Here is a 23,871-nt window from a genome sequence, read left to right on the forward strand (position 1 = left end):
CACACAGTAGGTGGTCAGCGTCTTTGTCTAACAGGTGACTGTAAATGCATCAGGGTTGAGTCCCACTTGTATTAAGTGAAGCCTATTCCAATGGCCCTACCTCAAAGGTCACTGAATGATCAGAGGAGGTGTGGGTAAAACCTTGACACCTCGGATGCACTCAAGCAGGAGCTGCCTTCACTGATACAGTTAATGCGAATTCTGCCCCTTTCAGGGTGGACCAGAGAGGAAGGATGAGGCCAGGGCAGGCAGGGCTGAGGCAGGAAGATTCTGCAAACAGCTTGGACAAGACAGACCCACTTCCTGTCCCCCTGGACTTGGTGGGGAGCAGTCCCAGCTCTCCCCTGGCCTGCCTTGTGACCTCAGGCAAACACCCCCTTCTCTGGGCCTCAGGACCCTCCCTTCCCTGAAGCTGAAGACCCTGGAGGTGGTGTGAGGCCTCATTCCGCCCCCACCCACACTCTCCACTCCAAAGTGGACCCTGGAGAGGGAAGGGAGGGCGAGGGCCCGGCCAGCGGTGTTTTGTGCCAAGACAGCACCTCTGGACTCGCTCACTCAGCAAAAGCTGGAGGCTCCTGAGCCAGCAGCTTCTGAGCCGCAGCAACCAGGGCTGGGGATGGGGGGCTGGGCGGGCCACTGATATCAGTGAGGGAAGTTGGGGGGAGGGGCTCAGGGAGGCTGCACCAGAGGGGGAAGGCAAGGCCAAGGAGAAAGTGGGACTCAGGACGGCTGAGGCAGAGGGAGGAGTGAGAGGCAAGTCTGTGGACCAGTCTCCCCTCCCTGTCCTCAGGACCTTGGGAAGGTCACCAAGCAGCCCCTGAGCCTCAGTTTCTCCCTTGGTTAACACACAGAAAATGGGCCCCCAGAGACTCCTGCAAGGAGCCCACTTCCAGCAATGAGTCCCTTCACACAGCCCGGTCCAGCTGCCCAGCCCCACCTGCCCTCTGCTCTGGAACCGGCCCAGAGTGTGGCCTCAAGGCTCCTCAAGCTGGGTCCTGCCTGGCAGGGATGTGGGTCTTGAGGATTAAGGTGGGGACACATATCCATCACTCCATCAACAGTGTCTATGCCAGACAGGGCTCTCTCCTAATACTCCTGTTTGGGGAAGTCTTGTTGGCAAGGGTTCCCCGCAGCCTGAGAGCTATGGCGGAGCCCTGGGCTGGGGTCTGTGCCCTGGGGACTCACTCTGCCAGACTCTTCCACAGGTCTCTGACCACGCTGTCTCCTTTAAAATTCTCTCAACAGCAGCTGGGTGCAGTGGCTCACGCCTGTAATCCCAGCACTTTGGGAGGCTGAGGCAGGTGGATCACCTGAGGTCAAGAGTTCGAGACCAGCCTGGTCAACATGGTGAAACCCCATCTCTGCTAAAAATACAAAAATTAGCCGGGCCAAGATTGTGCCACTGCACTCCAGCCTGGGTGACAGAGCGAAACTCTGTCTCAAAACAAACAAACAAACATAAAACTCTCTCAACAGCACTCGTGGTATTGTCCCATTCTACAGATGAGGGGACGGAGGCTCACAGAGTGAAGGGACTTGTCAGGGGTCACGCAGCTGGTCAGTGACAGTGCTGGGACAGGTGGCCAGGTCTTCAAGCCCAGGCCCAAAGCTTCCCCGCTGCAGGGGAAGGGCAGGTGGGTGCGGAGTGTGAGTGTTGGAATCGGCGCATCTGCTTCAAGATAAAGCGCTGCTGGGCCCAGGGAGACTCGGAGGCTCCTCTTTGGCTGCAGTAGGGAAATCTGACCCAATTCTGGCCCGAACTGGCTTCTCAGACTCTGCGCAGGCCCAGAAACCCCCTTTCCAGAAGGCAGGGCCTGGGCAGGGGGAGCTGTGGCAGAGAGAACAGGCCAGATGGGGCAAGCCTGGGGTCCATGTCAGCCTCTGACCTGGGGTACACATGAGCCCCTGAGAATGCTACTGAAATTTTCTGAACCTGCTTCTGCACCTGAGGGATAGGAGCTGAAATCCTGCAGGAGGTGCTCTAAGAATCAAGAGCTCTAAGAGCAGTCCTGACCTGGTGCTGGGTGAATCATGTTCAATCCACAGCCATGTTTGGCTGAGACACTCACGAAGCCTGCCTGGGCTCTGGGTCCCACAGCTTAAACTGGAGGCCTGTGGACCCTTGCCAAGAAGACTTCCCCGAACAAGGGTATTGAGAGCCCTGTCTGGCACAGACACTGTTGATGGAGTGATGGATATGTGTCCCCACCTTAATCATCATGGCCCAAGTCCTCAGGTAGGACAGGATGGCCATAGTCACTCAGGCTGGGCTGGGGGCTGCTCACTGCAGGCCAAGGGCAAGAGGTGACAGCACAGGACAGGACAGAGGACTCTTGCAATTGCCTATGCCCTGACCGAGGAGAACCAGGCTGCCGGCCCTCCCATGGGGGCCGAGCTTCATCCACCAGTGTGGTCTGGGCCTCTGGCCACAGTGAAAGACTAACTCTCTCTCCTGCTGGTCCCAAGCACATAGGCTGGAGGTGTGGCTGGCTGACCTCACCATTTTCCCAACAGGCTCTCATTTTTGCCTTGTGGGGCAGAGTGGGGACAGGGCCCAATTTTGTAGCCAGAGGAAACAGTGGTCCAGGAGGCCTGTGACAGAGTCTGTGACATCCTTCCCATCACCCCCAGTAGAAGAGCCCAAGGCCAAATCCCAATGGCAAGAAGTGTGGGAACATGGGAACAGTGGGACCACCCAGTAGCCACCAACTCCCCAACGCCAAAGGTGGCAGGAGCAGGAGGGAAGAAGGGCCTGACCTGCCCTTGGAGGGTAGCCAGAATCTGCAGACCCTCTTCCTCCTCATTTCCAGGCTGCAAGGCCAACTCCTGAGACTCAGAAATTTCAAAGAAGGGACCCTGGGCTCCTCGGGTCCAGCCCAAGCCAGAATCTCCAATCTCACACACACTTTAGCCTCCCAGACCAGAGGCCTGAAAACCTGGCTGTGAACACCCAAGTCAGTGGTGAACTCAGTCGTGGGGCAAGCAGGGACCACTTAATGTTCTGCTGCCCAGCGTCCCTACCCTCCTCAGTCCGGGTCCACCGCTCTCTGTACAAACCTCCTCAGTCCCCGTTCCCTGCAGAAACAGAGCCCAGCATCTGAGATGAGCCACAGATGCCTCTGGAAAGGAGCCTGTTCAGAGGGTAGGAGTCAAGGTCAGAGGTAGATGGGGCACCCAGCCAACATCCCCCATCCCAAAGCCAGCTCCCACTGCCGAGAGGCCCAGGCAGTTCATACAGGAAAGGCCCCACGGGTCACTTCCCCAGGAAACACACAACCAAAAGAAAATGCAGTAACCACAATCCTCACCCCACCAGGCCCACCCTAGGAGGGCCAGCAGGGCTCTTGCCCCGACCCACAAAATAAGAAGGAGACCTAGACTCCGTGGCCCTCGGTCTCTCAGTGTCCCCAAGCCAGCAGGGCCTGGCCAGTGGCCAGACCAGCCTATTCCTCAACCAGTGCCCAAGATGACCCTGTCCAGTTACCTCCTGGAACTAAAGACCCCTGTTGGTCATGGGCACAATGGATTCATTCAATAAGCAGGGGAGGGGACAGCAAGGGTGGTTCTGAAACTGGACGAAGGAGACGGCTGGGAGGGCACACTGGGACCACTCAGCGGGCTGCCAGGGCCCAGGCCTCTAGGGAGGCTGCAGAAACCCCGACCCAGGGCCTGGCTCCCCGGGGCGGTGCCTTGGCACAGGGGCCTGTTCAGATTCACGCTCAGCCTTTGCGGTGACACTGAGGGGACGGAGGCTCACAGCCATGTGATTAACATCCAGGGACCAAGGGAGTCCCAGGAAAGGGTTGGTGGGCCAGCTCTCAGGCCAGCCTGCAAGCCCAGCAAAGCTTGGCTCCCCTAGAGAGCGGCCAAGTCTTCAGCCCCAAACCCACAAGCATGTCAGGTTCCCAAGCGCTAGGCCACATCCACGCCAGCCCACCACTCCACAGGTGTCATGGCCTGGAAGCTCGGGACAATTGCAGGGAGATGCGCTCCTCCACCTGGTTTCCAGATGAGGCCCCTGAGGTTCAGAGAGGGATGGTGACCTGGCCAGAATGCACAGCAAGGAAGTGGCAGGATGGGAACTGAATGCAGAGTACAGGCATAGCGTATCACGTGGCCTGTCACCCAGAGGAAAGGGGATGAATGGCGGTTTTGGAGAAGTGAGGCAAGAGGCAGATGGGGTTTGAGGAAGTCTGAGACAGCGCCCAAGTACTGGAGGTGCCACCCAAGAATGCTGTACAGCCAGGCAGGACCTGGGCTAAGAGGGGACAGCAGAGGGGACACACAGAAACAAAGATGGGAAGGGGGAATTGTGGGAGGAACAGGGGCTGGATGGGGGGGCAGGAAAAAGCAATAACAATAATTAAGATAATTCAAAACTAAGGAAAAGGTGAAAGCTGAGAACAGCGGTACCCATGCTGGGAGTGAGGAACTGGGAGGGGGTCTTTCAGGGACAGGAAAGTGGGTGGCTGAGGCATCTGGGAAGTGGCACGTCCCGTAGGCAGCTGAGGGGGAATAGGCAGGATGGGGTGACGCTGTCGAGTGGCACTGGTTTCGGGGAGCAGCTGCAGCCTGAGCCTGGATGAGGGGCTGTCAGGGAGGACAAGGGCTTGAGAGCCAGAAAGGACGAGAGTGTTGGACACCAGAGCCGAAGAGTGTCTGGGACCCGGGGATGAAAGAGATCGTCATGAGTCTCACTGAATTGGGCCAGGAACCAATGAGCTCAAGTCAAGGAGGGGACAAAGGGACAGGTGGGAACCAAGGTGGGCCTGGGCCACAGGGGAAGGGGAGCCAGAGTAGGGAGAAGGGCACAACAGCATGTCCTAGTAGAGACCATGGAGGAGGAGTGGGGGAGAAGGTCAGGAACAGCTGGGGATGGGAAGCAGATCAGAACACCTAAAGCAGGTGAGTCAGGCCACGCCTCCGCCGGCCATAGCCCCAGGCCACCAGGCCAGTCCAGCCCACCCCTGGCGGGGGAATCCAGCCCTGTCTCTCCATGGGAGCCAGCACAGGGCCTAGGAGGGGGCGCATCTCACTACTCTTCTACAGGGCTGGGCACGCAGTACATCCTCAAATGCGCCTGTGGCGACCCTGCCCATTCAGTCCAAGAATTGACACCGAAGACCTCCAATAGCTAGTGTGTATACTGAGCACCCATTATGTGCCAGGCACCCCACCAGCCATGATCCATCCAATCTGCACGACCAGGCAGCCCCCTTCTTACCATATCCTATTTTGATTTGCATCTCCCTCCCGCTACCTCATTTCCAAAGACCTATTGGGCATAAATCATGTGCAGAGCTCGGAGGGTCTAGGACAAGCAGGATTCTAATGAGGATGTCTGCCCCCAACACCCATGTCCTGATTAAGGAACAGCAGGAAAGATCTCCACCTGTTGAGGGGTAGAGTAGGCAGTTAGATCACGGAGGGCTTCCAGGGAGCAGCAACAGTGAGGGTTATACAACCCCTTCCCAATGAAGAGGCCTGTGTGCCTGACCTGGAGCCCTCGGGCCATACTTCAGACTCTTGTCTCACGGCCTCTAGTCCCCTGTGACTTGGGCCTTACAGGCAGGAGCCCACAGATCCATGCCCTTAGAATAGCCAAGGCCCAGGGCAGTGAAGTGACTTGCTCAGGATCACACAGCCAGTTGATGGCCCCTACAGCCCTGCCTGCCGCAAAAACATGCTCCCCAACCCCTGGGAGGTTGGAGTGGTCTCATCTCATTCCTGGGCCATCCATCAATGCCTGGCCCTCTCTAGCCATAGGTATGATGAGCCCCGTCTCTGGGGAAACTGAGACCAGGGGGCTGGAACAGTGTCATGCAGAAACTTGAACGCTGGCTTCTGCTGACCAAGTCCCAAGTGTCCAGCACCATGTTAGATACAGAAGTACTCAAGACGCTGTCCTCACCTCGTCACCTTGGAGCAGGCTTGGCACCCAAAACTATGAATGTGTGAAACTGTGGGGAATCGGAAGGGGGACAACCCAGTTTGGAGGGGCACCTAAAGTCAGACTGGAGCTGCCTCTGGGTTTGGAGTTCAGGGCCCATGCTCAGGAGTCCCAAAGAAGAGGACCCACCCAGGCTGTGGCAGAGTCCAGCCACTGCCGCCCACCCCAGAAGAGTAGCCCAGGGCTGGAGCCATGACCAGGACCTGGCCATTAACAAAGCACAGCCACCAAGAGAAAGATCTCAGTTCATTTCACAGGTGAGGAAACGAAGCCCAGAAACATCACTGGCCCCGCTGGGGTCACCAACTCCTAATCCCAGCTCCTCCTGTTCTAGGATCAACAGTCCCAAATATACACCTGCCAGAGCTGTCATCAGACTTGGTCAGAGTAACCTGGCAAGTATGACTCTGAACAGGACACCTCCCAACTGCTGCTGGGGTCTGGGTGAGCTCCTAGGACACCAGGCACCCAGTGGGGGCTAGCAGCTTGGCCCCTGACTCTAAATCCCTGTTTCCTCACCCAAATGGGGGGCCATAAAAATACAGAGCTCAAGGTAACCCCCAAGCTCTGCCTCACCCCTTCCGCCAGCTTCTCACTGCCCCTCATCCTTTCCATCTGCATTTATGAAGCACCCATTATGATATGAGCTCAGCACCCAGCTAGGCCCCTGGGGGTGCAGGGGTGCATGCAGGAAGTGAGCCATACTGAGGATTCTGTGGGGGTCAGCCTGGCAGCTGGCTCATCCAGAGTGTTGCTGGGAATATGGCAGGGGGGCTGGATGGTGGGGAGGGGTCCCTGCCCAGGATATAAGGCTCTCTGACTCTCCTTGAAGCAACCATCCATCTACTGGTGGCTCTCAGCTGTGTCTGGCCTTGGCCTGGGTGCCTCCAGGGAAGGACATTCTCTGACCTGCGATCACTCCCACCCCAGAAACCATTTATTTTACCTAGAGGCCCAGAGAAGGAAGTCCACACTCTCAAGGTCACACAGCAACTAACTCAGGGGCTGTGTTGCCTGAGTCCACCCAGCCGGCACAAGACACAGGCTTCCGGCAGACGAGGCTGCTCCCCAAACACAATTCACCCCGGGCAGGACTGCCCTAACCTCTCCAGGTACCACAAACCCACCTCAAGCACTTTCTCCTAAGCCAGCCTCCTTCCTCCAAGCACAATGCCAACAAATACACTAGTGGCCTTCAACTCTCTCCCTTTAAGAGTCTCAAGCCCAGGCCGGGTGCAGTGGCTCACACCTGTAATCCCAGCACTTTGGGAGGCTGAGGCGGGCGGATCACAAGGTCAGGAGATCGAGACCATCCTTGCTAACATGGTGAAACCCTGTCTCTACTAAAAACACAAAAAAATTAGCTGGGCGTGGTGGCGGGCGCCTGTAGTCCCAGCTACTCGGGAAGCTAAGGCAGGAGACTGGTGTGAACCTGGGAGGTGGAGCTTGCACTGAGCCGCGCCACTGCACTCCAGCCTGGGCGACAGAGTGACACTCTGTCTCAAAAAAAAAAAAAAAAGAGTCTCAAGTCTTAGGGCAGGGCGTGGTGGTAAAAGCCTGTAATCCTAGCACTTTGGGAGGCTGAGGCTGGTGGATCACCTGAGGTCAGGAGTTCGAGACCAGCCTGATCAATATTGTGAAACCCCGTCTCTACTAAAAATACAAAAATTAGCCGGGTGTGGTGGTGTGTGCCTGTAGTCGCAGCTACTCAGGAGGCTGAGTCAGGCGAATTGCTTGTACTCAGGCAGCGGAGGTTGCAGTGAGCTGAGATCTCGCCACTGCACTCCAGCCTGGGTGACAGAGCAAGACTCCGTCTCAAAAAAAAAAAAAGTCCCAAGCCTCTCCACACCTCACCCCTAACAGGAGCCCACTCTCTCCACACCCCCTGCTGGGGATGAAAGGCCATCCCTCCCCTAGCATCGCAGCTCAACCTTTGCTAGGTGCCATGGAGTGAAGTGGATCCTGCCTGCCTTTCCGGGGGGCTTCCCTCACTCCCCAGCTGTAGCTGGGCAGTAGCCCTCTCCTGGGACCACTCATCTGGCCCAGGGGGCACAGGAGTACAACCTGTCCCCCATTCTGGCCACATTTCCTCCACGACCTGGTCTTTCCCGGCCACGGGGAAGAGGAAGTGTTTGCCCAACTCCACAAAAACACCACAACCTTTCTGCACATACAGGGCAGGGGTCCCACATCAGATGGGCCAGGAACTGCAACTGCCCCTGAGAACCAGTGGCCTGAACAGACACAGCCACTGGGGCCACTAATCCAGGACCCAGAGTCTCTGCTACCCCACTCCAGGCTGCGGGGCCGGGGCGGGGGGGGTTCCCACTCCACACCTCTGAGAGCCTCCGTACTTCCAGAGCCCCACAAGGAGGTTCTGCCCTCAACTTGGGAGCCACCCTGGCAAAGACCCAGCCCCTCTTTCCCAGCTACACTGCTTTCCAAGAGTTCATCCAGCGAAGGGGTTGAGGGACAGGTTGGGAGGGTGGGCTGGGGGTCCTTCCTCTAGGTGCATGCCCCAGAGTCGTGCACACTCTTCCCCACACCCCAACTCTTCTCACTTGCGCTCCTGATGAGCTAAGAGGAGTTGACGCTGTCACCCCGGGACGGTCGGCTGCCCACCCTTCGCACCCTGCACCCCGAGAGACACCCCCGACCCCTCCCCCGGAGTCTCCTGGCTGCAAGTCGGCTCGCCTGCAGGCAGGGCGGGGGCGCACAGCACCTCCGGGTGGCGGCGCAGACCCGGCGGGGACCCCCGAAATCCTCCCGTCCCGGGAGGCGACCGCGGCCCAGACCCAGCGCGGGACCGCGAGCGCGCGCGGACCTACCCGCTCCACATCCCGGCGCCTCGGGGCGCCCAGGCGTCCGTTCCCAGCGCCGCCGCGTCCTCCCAGCGCCGCGTCCCCGCCCGCCGCCGACTCCGCCAGGGGCCGAGCCGCCCCACCGCCTGTCAGCCCTGCCCGCGGCCGGTCAGTAGGTCTCAGACGCCTGGGCTCGCGGCCCCCAGCCCAGCCCCGACCCTGCCCTGGGCGGGTCACGTGGCGGAGGGGGGAGCGGCCCGAGGACACGTGCCCGGCCCCGCCCCTCCGCCGGCCCGGCGCTGGGATCCGGCGCGCGCTCCCAAGGCCTGGCCCCACCCGGCCCGCCGCGCCGGGACAGGGAGACCACGGCGCTCGGAGGGAACCCGGCCCCCAACATCCCGCGGGCCGCGCCGCGCTCAGACTCCCCAGCTGACTCCTCCTCTCCAGTCGCCCTCCGCACCACCCACTTTGGGCCACCCCTGCTCAAGAACCTACAATGGCTCCCGAGCTCTCAGCTCTTCGATTCTCACACAGATTGTCACTTAAGGCCAGCAGACACCCTCCCCCCTCCTCACCCGGCCCTCCTTCCCTAGGCTGTCTGCTTAGTGCCTGTCCCTGTGCAACATCCTGCCTGCTGGGAAGGGGAGGGGACAAACCCGAAACAAGTTTTCTGAGTCCTACTCTCTGAGTTTTATCCCGAAGGAGTTTCCACTTCTGGTCCAACTCTCCTCACTCAGCCTCCTGCCACTTAACACGCTCTGCCCATCCCTGCCTTTACTCACCATCTGCCCTCTGGATAGTATTCCCCACCCCACCCCCACCGACACACACACATACACACACCTGTCTGGTCCCACATCCTCCGTGAAACCTTCCCTGAATCCCAGACGACTGGTCTACCTGTCCCTCAGTTCCTCTGTCCCACCCATTCTGAGTCCTGATCATTCGTCTCAACTTCAGCCTGGGACTGGACCAGTAAGAGCAGAACCCGTCTTCTCTCCCGCCAGGTACCATGGCTCCCACCTTCCCTGTCTAGGGGAGGACTGGGAGCGTGGTGGGAGGTACTTCCCCTTCTAGGTGCTACCAGAGGTCCCAGTGCTACCCCTCCAGGCCCACTGACTCAGGCCGCAGGCTCAAGTTAGTCAGATCTTCGTTTGAGGATACATTTTATTCATTCATTCTACTCATTCATACATTCAGCCACTCCATCTGAGCATAGACTATGGGGCATGCAAGGGGCTGGGGACCCAGCAGGAAACTGTACAGACATAGGTTCTGCCCTCCTGGGGCTCCACGTTGGTGGAGGATGGAGGATGGGGGACGTATTCTCTAAGACCTCCACGTCCAGGGCACAAATAGACAATGCTCTTTCCCCGCTGGGCACAGCGCACAGCAAGGTATGGAATCTGGAGAGTGGAGGCGAGGCTGGATTCTATGCCTTGCTTGCTCCCTTGGCCAGCACTTTGTGCAGTGAACAACCTAGGCAGTTCTCCATAGCATCCCTTCCAACTTTCTAGAATCATTCAGCCCAGGCGTCCCATAGCCATCACTCAGCAGGGCAGTTGTTTCCATGGCCACGGCTTCCAGAGGGCAGGGATTCTCTCTTTCTTGGAGCTATGTTCCCCTACCCCACCCCCAGCCCAGCTCAGGGTCTGGCCCACCCAAAGCAGATGTCCACATGTGTTTGCTGGCTTGAATCCCTCATCAGTTGGTCTTGAGCAACTGTTGTCTTCCTGGCCCTTATTTTGTTCACTATTTAGAGAAGGAGGAGAAAATGACACAAAAGGAACCCAGCACAGGGCCCTTGCCCTCCAAGTCTTCACAAGCCCCGGCAGGAGATAAGTCATGGCAACCCAGACCAGTGGGAGATAAAGGGTGGAGGAGGCGTCAGCTCAGGGCTATGTCCCTGGAGGAAGAGTCCTCAGCCTGGGAGGTCTGGTGGACCGGGGAGGCCCTTGAGCGAGGTCTTGAAGGACAAGTCTGTGGTCACCACTCTGGAAGCATCCACACTCAATTTCTAACCAAAAATAGCCTGTCATCCATGCTTCCTGCTACCATGGACTCCTAGGGCTCACTGCCTCCCCCAGTAGGGAGGACCCTCCTGCTCAGCTGAACTTGCTCCTCAGTTGAAAAGGATGGGCTCGGAGAAGTTAAGGAACCTGCCTGATATCACACCAGCCAGGGGCAGTGGGGCTGAGTCCTCTTACACCCGTTTTCCAAAAAGACCACCCAGAAACTAGAGGCTCACTGGCAGCTGCAGCTGTGTGCAGCCAGGCAGCAAGAGGTTCCTGAGCACATGCTAGGTGTCTGGCCAGTGGCAGGGAAGGGATAAATAAAAGTTGTGTCCTCTGCCTACAAGCCACTGCCCTCCTCAGCCTCCCTCCCTCTATCTCCCTCTGCCTGCTCCATCCCAAGCCTGGCAGCCTTGACCACAGACCCTTGGCTGAAGGCAGCTGAGGAGCAGGAGACAGTCAGCCTGGACAACCCAGGCCCTGATTCTGGACTTACAGGTGTGTCCTCAGCTCACTGTGTGACCCAGGATGAGTGTCTTGCCCTCTCTGAGCTTCAGTCTCCACCTCTGTACAGCCACCAAATTGGACAAGACAATCAGAGCCATTGCCTAGGACTCTCTGAGCCCAGCTTCTCACACTGGCTGCCCTGAAGCTTGCCAAGACTCCCCCTCCCCTCCATGCCCCAGGTCCTGAGCTCACCTGTCTGTGCCCCAGGGCTCTTCTCTCAAGTTCCCCTCAAGTACAGGGCACAGGCCTGATGGGGCGTAGCGGACAGTCCCTGCACTCATGGCCAGGAACACGGGACATGTCCCTCGGGCGGGGCACCCAGCGTGCTCCTCAGAAGAGTCCATGCTTGCAAGGCCAGACTGAGGGTCCCTCTGGAGGGTGCCGGGAAGGGAGGTAGCAGGAGCCTTCTTCCCCCCACCAGGCTGAGCCTCACACTAACCTTTGCTATCTCCCCAGAGCAGCAGCCTGGGAGGGAGGCACCACCTCCCAGGACAGCCGCTATCTCCTTCAACCCCGTAATTATTAACTCCTGTGGCTCCTCAGGCAGCAGAAGACACTGGGCCCTCCTTCCTGGGCTCTGGGCCAGGGGAGGTGAGACACCTCTAGGGGAGGCCCCGTGTTTCAGCCAGGCTCCCAGATGGTCCGCTTGTCCCCTCACCACGCAGGCTGGGGTGTTGGAAAGAGCCCGTCCAGCCTTGATCCTGTCATAGCTGTCATAGCTGGCTGTGTAGCCCTAGACAGGCCCTCCTGCCTGTGACCACAAACCTGAATATCCCCTTAAAACTTTGTTATTGGTGGGGCGCGGAGGCTCACGCCTGTAATCCCAGCACTTTGGGAGGCTGAGGCGGGCGGATGACCTGAAGTCAGCAGTTCAAGACCAGCCTGACCAACATGGTGAAACCCTGTCTCTACTAAAAATACAAAATTAGCCGGGCATGGTGGCGCATGCCTGTAATCTCAGCTACTCGGGAGCCTGAGGCAGGAGAATTGCTTGAACCCGGGAGGCGGAGGTTGCGGTGAGCTGAGACTGGGCCATTGCACTCCAGCCTGGGCAACAAGAGCAAAACTCCGTCTCAAAAAACAAAACAAACAAACAAAAAACTGTTATTTTTTATTTTTTTTCTTTATTTTTAAATTCTTTTTCTTAGATTTGAGATTCCCAGTTTTGTTTTTTGTTTGTTTTTAATTTTTCAAGGCAGGGTCTCGCTCCGTCACCCAGGCTGGAGGGCAGCCTCAAACTGCCCAGCTCAAGCCATCCTCCCACCTCAGCCTCCTGAGCAGCTGGGACTCCAGGCATGTGTCACCATGCTTGGCTAATTTTTAAATTTTTTTTATTTTTTGGAGAGATGGGGTCTCACTACCCTTAAAACTTCTCACCACCACCGCCCAGGAACAACTCAGCGGTAGCAGCTGGGAACACAGGCCCGGGGTCAGACGGGCTGGATTCAACCCCACTTTCAGACGGTGTGCCTTTGAGCACGTTAGCCTCTCCGTGCCTCAGTTTCTCCAACTATGAAATGGATTCTCACCCTCCAAAGCACACCAGGCCAGTTGCCATTGCCCAGATGTGCCCATTCCTCTTCTTTCCACATACTATCCCCCCTGACTGCTATCTCCACTGCATCCTGCCTCTGCTAGTAAGTTTCTCTTTTGTTCATACCCCCTCCTCTAGGAAGCCCTCCCCTGTGGGTTACTTTTTTCCTCTGCAGGCACCAGAGCCCTTAGACACATGGTTAGCCCTGCGTCATGACAAACACCCCCTGGAACTGTTGGACACTCCCACAAGAACTGAGTGGCCCTCTGGGCAGAGGCTGGGCCATCCTCGTCACCCTTCTCAGTGTCACCTTGCCTGGTACACAGACTCCATCCACCTGTGGGATGGTGTGAATGTGCCACCCTGTCTTCATTTGGCCCAAATTCTCATCCTAGTTCTGCCACTCGCTGACTGTGTGGCCTTAGGCAAGTCACTTAACCTCTCTGGGACTCAGTTTCCTCATCTATATAAAATGGGAAGTTCTCCCCTGTGAAATAGTGAGTATTAAAGCAGATAACATTTGTGGCCAGGTGCGGTGGCTCATGCCTGTAATCCCAGCACTTTGGGAGGCCGAGGTGGGAGGATCGCTTGAGCCCAGGAGACCACCCTAGGCAACAAACCGAGACCTCATCTCTATTATTTAAAAAAAAACCCGTCTCTACTAAAAATACAAAAAATTAGCCAGGCGTGGTGGCGGGCGCCTGTAGTCCCAGCTACTCGGGAGGCTGAGGCAGGAGAATGGCGTGAATCTGGGAGGCAGAGCTTGCAGTGAGCCGAGATCACGCCACTGCATTCCAGCCTGGGTGGCAAAGCGAGACTCCGTCTCAAAAAAAAAAAAAGTTTAAAAAAAGAAGACAGCTGGGGGCGTTGGCTCACGCCTGTAATCCCAGCACTTTAGGAGGCCGAGGCGAGTGGATCATCTCTGAGGTTGGGAGTTTGAGACCAGCCTGACCAACATGGAGAAACCCCATCTCTACTAAAAATACAAAATTAGCCGGGGGTGGTGGCGCATGCCTGTAATCCCAGCTACTTGGGAGGCTGAGGCAGGAGAATCGCTTGAACCCAGGAGGCAGAGGTTGCGGTGAGCTGAGATCCCACCATTGCACTCCAGCCTGGGCAACAAGAGCCAAACTCCGTCTTGGAAAAAAAAAAAAGAAGAAGAAGATAACATTTGTGAAGTGTCTGCCACAGTGTAGACTGAAAGAAGTGTTTCCTTCCTTCAGTGTTTCCTGCCCCGTCCTCCTGCCTGTACTTCCCTCTTCTTTCTGGTTAGCCTCTGAGTCCCTGCTGGGGAGAAGCTGCCAGTTCCTCACACCCCACCCTGCCCCGCCCCGCCCAGCGGATAACAGTATCTCCCACTTGGGCTTTGGGCTGCGAAGCTCTCTCAGCCTAATGCAAACCAGATGCTGTCCTCCCTTTCCTGGCAATGAATTTTCCATGGCCTGCTCCCACCCGCTTCCTGTTTTTGCTCCTCTCTGATCCCCCTGCTCAATTCTCCTGTGCCCCCACCTTCCTCTGCTGGGCAACCTCTGGGCTTACCTGGAAACAATTAATGGAAAACAGGATATGTGAAGGGTGGGGGTCTCCCCATCACCCCAACATGGCAAGAGGGGAAAGGGCTTGGCCTGGCTGGTGGCATCATATGTGGGAGTTGGTCCCTCCCTGCCAAGACCCCACCAGCCTCTTGGCCGGGGGCGGGAGAGGGGAAACTGAGTCAGAGTTGCTGGAGACTTTATGGAAAAACCTGTTATGTTTCTGGACATTTAGACACAGCTTGGACTGGATGGGAAGCTTTGAGGATCTTGTCTTTGGTTGTAACTTCTTAGAAAAAAGGCAGAGCCAGAAAAGGCCCGATTGTCTCTTCTTGCAGATGAGGAAACTGAGGCTCAGAGACTCATCCAGGGTCACTTGTGAGTCACAGCAAGAAGCAGCCAGGTCTGGGACGTCTTGTCAGTAAAAGCCGCTGCCTGAAGTCGCCTCCCCTTCTTGCTATCTCAGCGTCATTCCTGCCTGCCCTTCCCCTGCCTCTGCATAGAGCTCAGTCACGAGGGGAGGCTCACAAGGCCACCATCCGCCTGCCTGTGGTGCAGACACCTCCCAGCTGGCAGGCTCAAGGCAGCCACGCACACCTGGCTGGGCAGACTTTGAAGCAACTGGATTTTTCCCCTGCAGGGCTGGGCGCTCAGCAGAGGGGCCCTGGGTAAGCCCCAAAAACATGTGTGCAGGTGGGCCCTTCCTTGGTCCACTTGACCCTGTGAACTTCCTCAGGTCAGCCAGTGCTGGTCCTCAGAGTGAGGGCTCCCCCATTTCCATGAAAACAACAGCCCCAGGGTTCCTGAAAGCCAGTTCTGGCTGCCCCTCCCTCCGCCAGCTGTGCAGGGTGTTTGGACAGCGCGGATGGAATGTTTTGCAGCCAAAGTCCTCCCTGGATCTCTGAGCTCAGATTTCAAGCAGGAGGGAAAGAGGACGCTGGTTCTGGCTCCAGGGAGAGGGGAAGCGACTCAGGAGGTCAAACTTGGGCCTGGAGGCTCCCTGCTCTGTCCCCAGGCCTGACCAAGACCAGGCCCAGGCCCCTCAGGGAAGGGCAGGACAGAGCGTGTGGAGGCGGCCGAATGGGGTCACAGCTTTGCTCAGGCCAACCTGGTGAAGCCAGGCCCCGGGGACAGTCTGGGCTCAGGGAGGGGCTCAGCCCAGGACAGCACTTTGAGAACACTAAGATTCACAACAGACCTCCTTCGACCACCATCTCCATTTTTTAGGGAGGGCAGTTGGGGTCCAGAGAGGGCAGGCACTTGTCCCAGGTGGTACAGCATGCTGGGTACAGAGCGGGGCTAGCAGCCAGGCCTCCGGAAGCTAAACTTGCTCTTTTCACTGTCCAGGAAGTTCCCATCCTCACTCTCAGCCCCAGAGATACAGCCCCTGCCAGTAAGTCGTCATCTTTGCTTCTTCCCCAAAAGATGCAGGCAAAAGAATCTACTCAGAAAGTCAGTTCACAAAGCAAGCACAGACACTAAGCTCCAGGCCAGCCTCTGAGAGATTCGAATTAACCTACTCGAGGACAAGGCAGAGGCCCTGAGAGACAGGATTCCTGGCCCATCTCCTGCTCTGGGGCCAGAGCTCCCCCAGTTCTCCACCACAGCTGCCCAGGCCCCTCAGCGCCCCCACGAAATGAATCCCTTCTCTGGCTGCGAAGACCCATAAGTTCTAGACACAAATATATGGAAGCTAGTTTGAGCCTCAGTTTACCCACCTTAAACCTGGGAGGATTATCTTTGTTCCACTTGACTTATCATCATATTGTGGGGTGCTGATGGTGAGGGCCGGGAAGTGCTGGTGAACCCCTTTGGAAATATCAACAGTTCCCGGTAATGAAACTGACCTCAGACGAAGAAGGGAGGAAGGAAGGAGGGGATTCCTTTGGGCCCAGATGGGTGTGGGAGTCTGACCAAGGTGCCTGGGGCCTGAGCTGAATTCCTAGAGATGAAACCTGTTCACCCGCTCTCAACTCCTCAGAAGGAAAGCTCAGCCACCTTGTGGAATTATTAGAGAACAGAGAATCCATCAGAAACCTTCGGGGGGAAAACATGACTAGTGGAGGAGGGTGTGACCCCCAGAGAGCTGATGACTCCCTTCCAAGGTGGCAGAATGTGGGGTGAACTGGAGACTGTGCTAGGATCTTTACGCGCAATCTCAGATTCTGTTCATCCTTGCAGCGGCCCGACAGTCCTTGGTGGTCCTTCATTGCTTTCTGTTCCCATTTTAAAGATGAGGAAACAGATTTGGAAAGGTTAAAGGATTTGGCCAATGGCTAACAAGTAAAGGAACTCAGATTTTAACCCAGGTTTGTCTGACTCCAAAGCTTGTTTTCTTATCTCTCCACCAGTCACTCTCTCAGGAGGAAGGGTAAAGTGAGGCTTTTTAAACAAAGTAGGGATTGAAGAATCAATAGGATTTAAATATCCATATAGAGCCGGGTGCAGTGGTTCACACCTGTAATTCCCAGCACTTTGGGAGGCTGAGGTGGGTGGATCACTTGACGTCAGGAGTTCAAGACCAGCCTGGCCAACATGGTAAAAACCCTGTCTCTACTAAAAATACACGAATTAGCCAGGCATGGTGGCACACACATGTAATCCCAGCTACTTGGGAGGCTGAGGCAGGAAAATTGCTTGAACCCGGGAGGTGGAGGCTGCAGTGAGCCAACATCACACCACTGCACTCTAGCCTAGGCAACAGAGCAAGACTGTGTCTCAAAAAAAAAAAATCCATATAGAAATGAAGGATGGACATTCCCTGCAGAGGGACCAACAGGTAAAAGGCCTGGAGGTGGGAAGGGCAGAACACAGACAGAGAGAGGCAAACCCTTCACTTTGCCAGGAGCTCAGGCTCATTTGGGGGACAGGAAAAAAAAAGTCTGGAAAGGCAGCCTCAGGTTAAATCCTGAAAAGCCTTGGAGGCGAGTTAAAGAATTTGGACTTTATTCTAAAGGCTCCAAGGAGATGGTTAAACATTTTTGAGCAGAGGAGAGAAATGATCAGAGCCCTGCTTTGGGAAGATTAAATGGACAGCTGTGTGCATAAAAAATAGAAGTGAACACTTATTACACATCTAGCAAGGGAAAGACTTTCTAAACTTGGAAACATTTTGAAGAGATCTTAACAGAAAAAGATCAATAGATCTGTCCGCATTCAAATGTAAAGCTGCTTTATGCTCCTTCCTGCCAAAAAAAAAAAAAAAAAAAAAAAGCCAAAATTAAAAGGCAAATAACTTGGCGAAAATATTCCCAGGCAATGGCAATGCGTTAATATAGTTAACACATAAAGAATTTGCGAAAATCAATAAGAAAAAACACTGGGAGCTCAATAGAGGTGTTCACTCATTCATCAGATTTTTAAGAACACACATGCCAAGTGCTGATGGCATATTAGTGAACCAGACAGACAATGTTTCTGCACTCATGAAGTATACAGTTTAGGAGGGGATTATGTGTAGCGGGGGATTCAGACATCTAATTACAGCATGATATGGTTTGGGTATTTGTCCCTCCAAATTTCACATTGAAATATGATCCCCAATGTTGGAGGTGGGCCTTGTGGGAGGTGTTTGGGTCATGGGAGCTTGGTTCCCTCATGAATGGCTTGGTGCCCTCCCTGTGGTAATGAGTTGCTGCAGGATCTGATTCTTTTTTTGAGATGGAGTCTCACTCTGTCGCCCAGGCTGGAGTGTAGTGCCGCCATCTCAGCTCACTGCAACCTCTGCCTCCTGGGTTCAAGTGATTCTCCTGCCTCAGCCTCCAGAGTAGCTGGGATTAAAGGTGCACGCCACCATGCCTGGCTAAATTTTGTATTTTTAGTAGAGATGGGGGTTTCACCATGTTGGCCGGGCTGGTCTCAAACTCCTGACCCTGTGATCTGCCCGCCTCGGCCTCCCAAAGTGCTGGAATTGTAGATGTGAGCCACACCTGGCCGAGATACAGAAAACTTTTATTTCATCACTCTTTCTTGCCTGGTGCCAGGCCCATGCAATGCCACAATCTTGGCTCACTGCAACCTTCAACTCCCAGGTTCAAGCGATTCTCCTGCCTCAGCCTCCTGAGTAGCTGGGACTACAGGCACTATGCCCCGCTAATTTTTGTATTTTTAGTAGAGACGGGGTTTCAGCATGTTGGCGAGGCTGCTCTCAAACTCCTGACCTCAGATGATCCACCCGCCTTGGCCTCCCAAAGTGCTAGGACTATAGGCATGAGCCAACGCACCCAGCCAGATCTGATTCTTAAAAAGAGTCTGGGACCTCCCTCCATCTCTCTCTTTTTCTCTCTCTCACCACTTGACATGCATGCCCCCCCCTTAACCTTCTGCCATGATTGGAAGCTTTCTGAGGCCCTTATCAGAAGGAGATGCTGGTGCCATGCTTCCCGTACAGTTGGCAGAACAGCGAGCCAGAGAAAACTCTTCTATACAAATTGCCCAGACTCAGGTATTCCCTATAGCAATGCAAAACAGACTAACACACAGGACCACAGGTCAGGTACAAGGATAGGGGAAGTGCAAAGTCGTCTGGGAGCACATCCAGGAACTCCCAACCTAGACTTAAGGTTAGGAGTCTGGAAAAATTTCCTGAGGCAGGAGTTTGGGAGTGGAAAGGGAGACCATTGAAAGAGTTGGGGCTGGCAAGAGAGTCAGGGGCTAGATCTTGTGGGGCTTTGTATGTGGTATGGTTTGGCTCTGCATCCCTGCCCAAATCTCATGTTGAATTGTAATTTCCAGTGTTGAAGGAGGGGCCTGGTGGGAGTTGACTGGGTCATGGTAATATATTTCCCCCCTGCTGTTCTTGTGCCAGTTCTCACAAGATCTGGTTGTTTAAGAGTCTGTAGCACCTCCCCCTTTGCTCTCTTCCACTTGCTCTGGCCATGTAAGATGTGCCTGCTTCCCCTTCACCTTCAGCCATGATCGTAAGTTTCCTGAGGCCTCCCCAGCCATGCCTCCTGTACAGCCTGCAGAACAGTGAGCCTATTAAACCTCTTTTCTTTATAAATTACCCAGCGTTGAGTAGTTCTTATAGTAGTGTGAGAATGAACTAATACAGTATGCTAGGTAAGGAGTTCAAACTTTATACTTAAAGACTAAGAGGAGTCATTGAAGGATTTACGCAGGAGTGTGATGTGAACGGATTCACATATCAAAAAGATGGCTACTATGGATAAGTGTGGAATGGCTTGGAGAATTTCTGCTCCTTAGGGATGTGGTGGACTTGAAGCAGAGAGGAGCCTTCCTGCTACAGAAAAAAAAAAAAAAATTCTAGAAAAAGAGGCTATAATTCTTTGAGGATGTGTTGTCTATCAAGCTCTAGGCCTTGTCTGCCAAAGCCACTTCCTTACCCACAAAGGAAAGTGCAGCCAAAGCTGGGAGCTTTGGCCAGGAGGGAGGTTGGGGACATGAATGTGGGCATCTACATGGTGCTAGGACCCTCCAAATACATGGAGCTAGGACCCTCAAAATACATGAAGCTAGGACCCTCAAAATATATGGAGCTAGGACCCTCAAAATACACAGAGCTAGGACCCTCAAAATACACGGAACTAGGACCCTCAGAATACACAGAGCTAGGACCCTCAAAATACATGAAGCTAGGACCCTCAAAATACATGGAGCTAAGACCCTCCAAATACATGGAGCTAGGACCCTCCAACTACATGAAGCGAGGACCCTCAAAATACATGGAGCTAAGACCCTCCAAATACATGGAGCTAGGACCCTCCAACTACATGAAGTGAGAACCCTCAAAATACATGGAGCTAGGACCCTCAAAGAGGGCTGAAGTGTTTCATGTTGGTGACACCCCTGGCTCCAGGCAGAAGCAGATTCAAATCCTCTTTGGAGGAATGTGTCCAAATTTAGATATGAAGGATTCCTATTGCTCAATATCAAGCAGTGAGCTCACAATCAGAGATCACCAGCACATAAAGATGCTAGCCACTATGAGTAAGAATCAACAGAAACAACACACAACAGATTTAGATGCTACAGAACTCCAGGTAGTGGTCTCCTATATATGATATAGAAAGGTTAACACATGAATTTTTAGAATCTGTTTTTAAAGAAAAAGAACACACACAAAATTTACAAAAAACAAAAAAAAATTATTTTTAATTATGGCTACATTATAGTTGTACATATTTGTGGGGTATATGTGACCTTTTGACACAAGCATACAATGTATAATGATCAAATCTGGGTAACTGGGATATTCATCACCTCAAACATTTATCATTTCTTTGTGTTGAGAACATTACAAATCATCTCTTGTAGCTATTTTGACATATATGATAAGTTATTGTTAATATATACATATGGGCAGGCATGGTGGCTTCCCAGCACTTTGGGAGGCTGAGGCAGGTGGATCGCTTGAGCCCAGGAGTTTGAGACCAGCCTGGGCAAAATGGTGAAACCCTGTCTCTGCTACAAACACAAAAATTAGCTGGGTGTGGTGGCATGCGCCTATTGTCCCAGCTACTTGGGAGGCTGAGACACAAGAATCGATTCAACCCAGAAGGCAGAGGTGCAGTGAGCTGCCGAGATCGCACCACTACACTCCAGCCTGGGTGACAGAGTGAGACTTGGTCTCAAAAAGCTTTAAAAAAATTTAAAAAAAAATGTATGATCTGAACATGAATAAACAACAAGAGATTATCAAGGAGAACCAAGCAGATTTTTTTTTTTTTTGAGACAGAGTCTTGCTCTGTCGCCAGGCTGGAGTGCAGTGGTGTGATCTTAGCTCACTGCAAACTCTGCCTCCTGGGTTCAAGCGATTCCCCTGCCTCAGCCTCCTGAGTAGCTGGGACTACAGGTGTGCACCACCACACCCAGCTAATTTTTTGTATTTTAGTAGAGACGGGGTTTCACCACGTTGGCCAAGATGGTCTCGATCTCCTGACCTTAAGTGATCTGTCTGCCTCGGCCTCCCAAAGTGCTGGGACTATGGGCATGAGCCACCGCGCCCGGCTTTTTTTTTTTTTTTTTTTTTTTTTGACAAGGTCTCACTCCGTTGTTGCCCAGGCTGGTGTGCAGTGGTGCAGTCTCGGCTCGCTGCAACCTTTGCCTCCCAGGTTCAAGTGATTCCCCTGCCTCGGCCTCCTAAGTAGCTGGGACTACAGGCGAATGCCACCACCATGCCCGGCTAATCTTTGTGGTTTTAGTAGAGGCAGGGTTTTGCCACGTTGCCCAGGCTGGTCTCAAACTCCTGGGTTAGAGTGATACACCTGCCTCAGCCTCCTGAAGTGCTGGGATTACAGGCATGAGCCACCACTCCCAGCCAAGCATAGACTTATAAGGTCTATGAAATCAAGAATAGAAAATAGAGAATGGAGGGGAGGTGATATTTGTTTAATGGGTATGGAGTTTCATTTGGGAAGATAAAAAATGTTCTAGAGATGGATAATGGTTGCACAACAATGGGAATGTAATTAATGTCACTAAACTATATACTTAAAAATGTTCAAAATATTTTTTAAAAAGGCATATTTGACCACCTAAGCATAAGGATATGGAAAGGGTGAGCTTGAAAAAGTTACACCAAAAGCAAGGTGGTATTTCTGCATTAATAACCAAACTTTAAGACGAATCATGGTGAATTATGCATGTAATCCCAGCACTTTGGGAGGCTGAGAAGGGAGGATCACTTGAGCTCAGGAGTTCAAGACCAGCCTGGGCAACATGGGGAGACCCCATCTCTACAAAAAATCAAAAATTAGCCAGGCGTGGTGGTGCAGGCCTGTAGTCCCAGCTACTTGGGAGGCTGAGGCAGGAGGATCACTTTAGCCTGGGAAGTCAAGGCTGCAGTGAGCTGTGATCATGCCACTGCACTCAGTCTGGGCAACACAGCAAGACCCTGTCTTAAAAAGACCAAATTAATAACAAACTTTAAGACGAAAAACATTATTAGTGTAGAGGTGGTCACTATGCAGTAATAATAAAGTGATGACAATGTTTAAAAAAAATTCACCAGATAGATATAACCATCTAAATTAATATGTGCCTAATAAAATAGCCTAAAATATTTAAAGCAAAAATAATTAAAGCTACAGGGGAAAATAGACACATCTATCATTATGGTGTGAGATGTCAACAAATGTCTCTGAACTACGGCTACATCAAGGCAGCAAAACATCAGGAGCTGGTGGCAGCAGAGACCACTGGCCTTGGTAGTAACTGAAGTATAGAGCACTAGATCAAAGCGAACCGATAAGCAATTTGATCCCTAGGTCCCCTCCTCTACTCCATGCCACTGGCCAACTGCCCCTTTCTTAGTCTAGCATAACACTGGAGATTTATTCTCTGGAGAAGGCAAAACAGAAGGTCTTTGGGCCAGTAGCTGAATAAGAGGGTTAAGTGATTATATACACACTGAAATCCAAGACCTCCAACCCTCTTCTGTCACTTGTCAGCCAAAGTGGCAACTCACTCAGTCACCAGGAGGGTAAAGACAGACTTTTACCCTCCAGACAGCCCCTCTATGGGACTCTGGCCAACCCAAGAAGAGAGATCTAAGACGAATGTTACCCAACAAAATATCCATCCAGCTCAAAGTCAACATGCTTGCCATCAGTTTTTAAGATCTCGCTCTTAATAATGAGCAATCAAGGATTATTAGACAACTAAGGAGAACCTCTACCTTAAGAGAGACCAAACCCAGTAAGCAGAAGAAAAGCAACTTGCAGGAAACAGAGACTCTGTAGAAAAAAGAAGAGGAGGTGAAGAGGAGGAGGAGGAGAAGGAAGGCAAGGAGGAGGAAGAAGGAGAGGCATTAATAACCTCAGGATGAGAAAAGAAGGTATTGCATTCATGAAATAATAACCTGATTCTATGAAAGTAAACATTCACAGAACAACAAAAACTATTGGAAAATAATATATTTTTTAAAAGCATGATGGTAGAAATGAAAACAATGAGTAAGGTTGGAAGACACAGTTGAGGGAATATCCTTCAGAAAGAAAGAAATGGAAAATAGTGAAAAGATTAGAAAAGTAGAGAATCAATTTAGAAGATTCAATATCTGAATAAAGAAGCAACAGAAGAAAATGAATGAACTGGCCAGGCATGGTGGTTCACACCTGTAATCCAAGCACTTTGGGAGGCTGAGGCAGGCAGATCACAAGGTCAGGAGTTTGAGACCATCCTGGCTAACATGGTGAAACCCCGTCTCTACTAAAAATACAAAAAATTAGCTGGGCGTGGTGGCGGGCGCCTGTAGTCCCAGCTACTCGGGAGGCTGAGGCAGGAGAATGGCGTGAACCCGGGAGGTGGAGCTTGCAGTGAGCCGAGATCTCACCACTGCACTCCAGCCTGGGAGACAGAGCGAGACTCTGTCTCAAAAAAAAAAAGAAAAGAAAATGAAGGGGGTAAAGCATCAAATAAATAATTCAAGATTATTTCCCAAAACTGAAGTATATGAGTTTTCAAATTGAAAAAGACCACCTTAGCTGGACATGGTGGCTCACATCTGTAATCCCAGCACTTTGGGATTCTGGTTTATAAAAAAATTAGTGTTATACTGTAAGATTTTTTATTT

At 53.2% G+C, this 23,871-nt stretch overlaps 1 protein-coding gene across 10 annotated transcripts in view, besides 3 other annotated features; it reads right to left on the reverse strand.

The window, feature by feature from the left end:
- RAB3IL1 (RAB3A interacting protein like 1) overlaps positions 1 to 23,871 on the reverse strand; it is a 49,023-nt gene that overhangs the window by 11,278 nt on the left and 13,874 nt on the right. For 6 of the 10 annotated variants that reach the window (NM_001271686.2, XM_006718647.5, XM_005274140.6 and 3 more), the window contains exon 1: positions 11,463 to 11,706. The exons of 1 other annotated variant lie outside the window; for it this stretch is intronic. In NM_001271686.2, coding sequence (NP_001258615.1) covers positions 11,463 to 11,614 — 152 coding nt within the window. In that variant the 5' untranslated portion in view covers positions 11,615 to 11,706. Of the gene's footprint in view, positions 1 to 8,778; positions 8,989 to 11,462; positions 11,707 to 23,871 lie in introns of those variants that run through there. 3 more of the 10 variants (XM_047427380.1, NM_013401.4, XM_011545198.3) reach the window with 1 other exon arrangement.
- Positions 14,635 to 15,384: an enhancer, noted in NCBI's record as "H3K27ac-H3K4me1 hESC enhancer chr11:61690685-61691434 (GRCh37/hg19 assembly coordinates)". NCBI's record gives its function as "activates a minimal SCP1, AML or CMV promoter by ChIP-STARR-seq in primed H9 embryonic stem cells {active_cell/tissue: H9 hESC(primed)}" and the evidence as "EXISTENCE:reporter gene assay evidence [ECO:0000049][PMID:30033119]".
- Positions 14,635 to 15,433: a biological region, named in NCBI's record as "Sharpr-MPRA regulatory region 8487".
- Positions 15,139 to 15,433: an enhancer, noted in NCBI's record as "tiled region #8487; HepG2 Activating DNase unmatched - State 1:Tss". NCBI's record gives its function as "activates a minimal TATA promoter and a strong SV40 promoter by Sharpr-MPRA in HepG2 cells {active_cell/tissue: HepG2}" and the evidence as "EXISTENCE:reporter gene assay evidence [ECO:0000049][PMID:27701403]".

This window comes from Homo sapiens, chromosome 11, assembly GCF_000001405.40.
Source record: "Homo sapiens chromosome 11, GRCh38.p14 Primary Assembly".
Classification (NCBI taxonomy): Eukaryota; Metazoa; Chordata; class Mammalia; order Primates; family Hominidae; genus Homo; species Homo sapiens.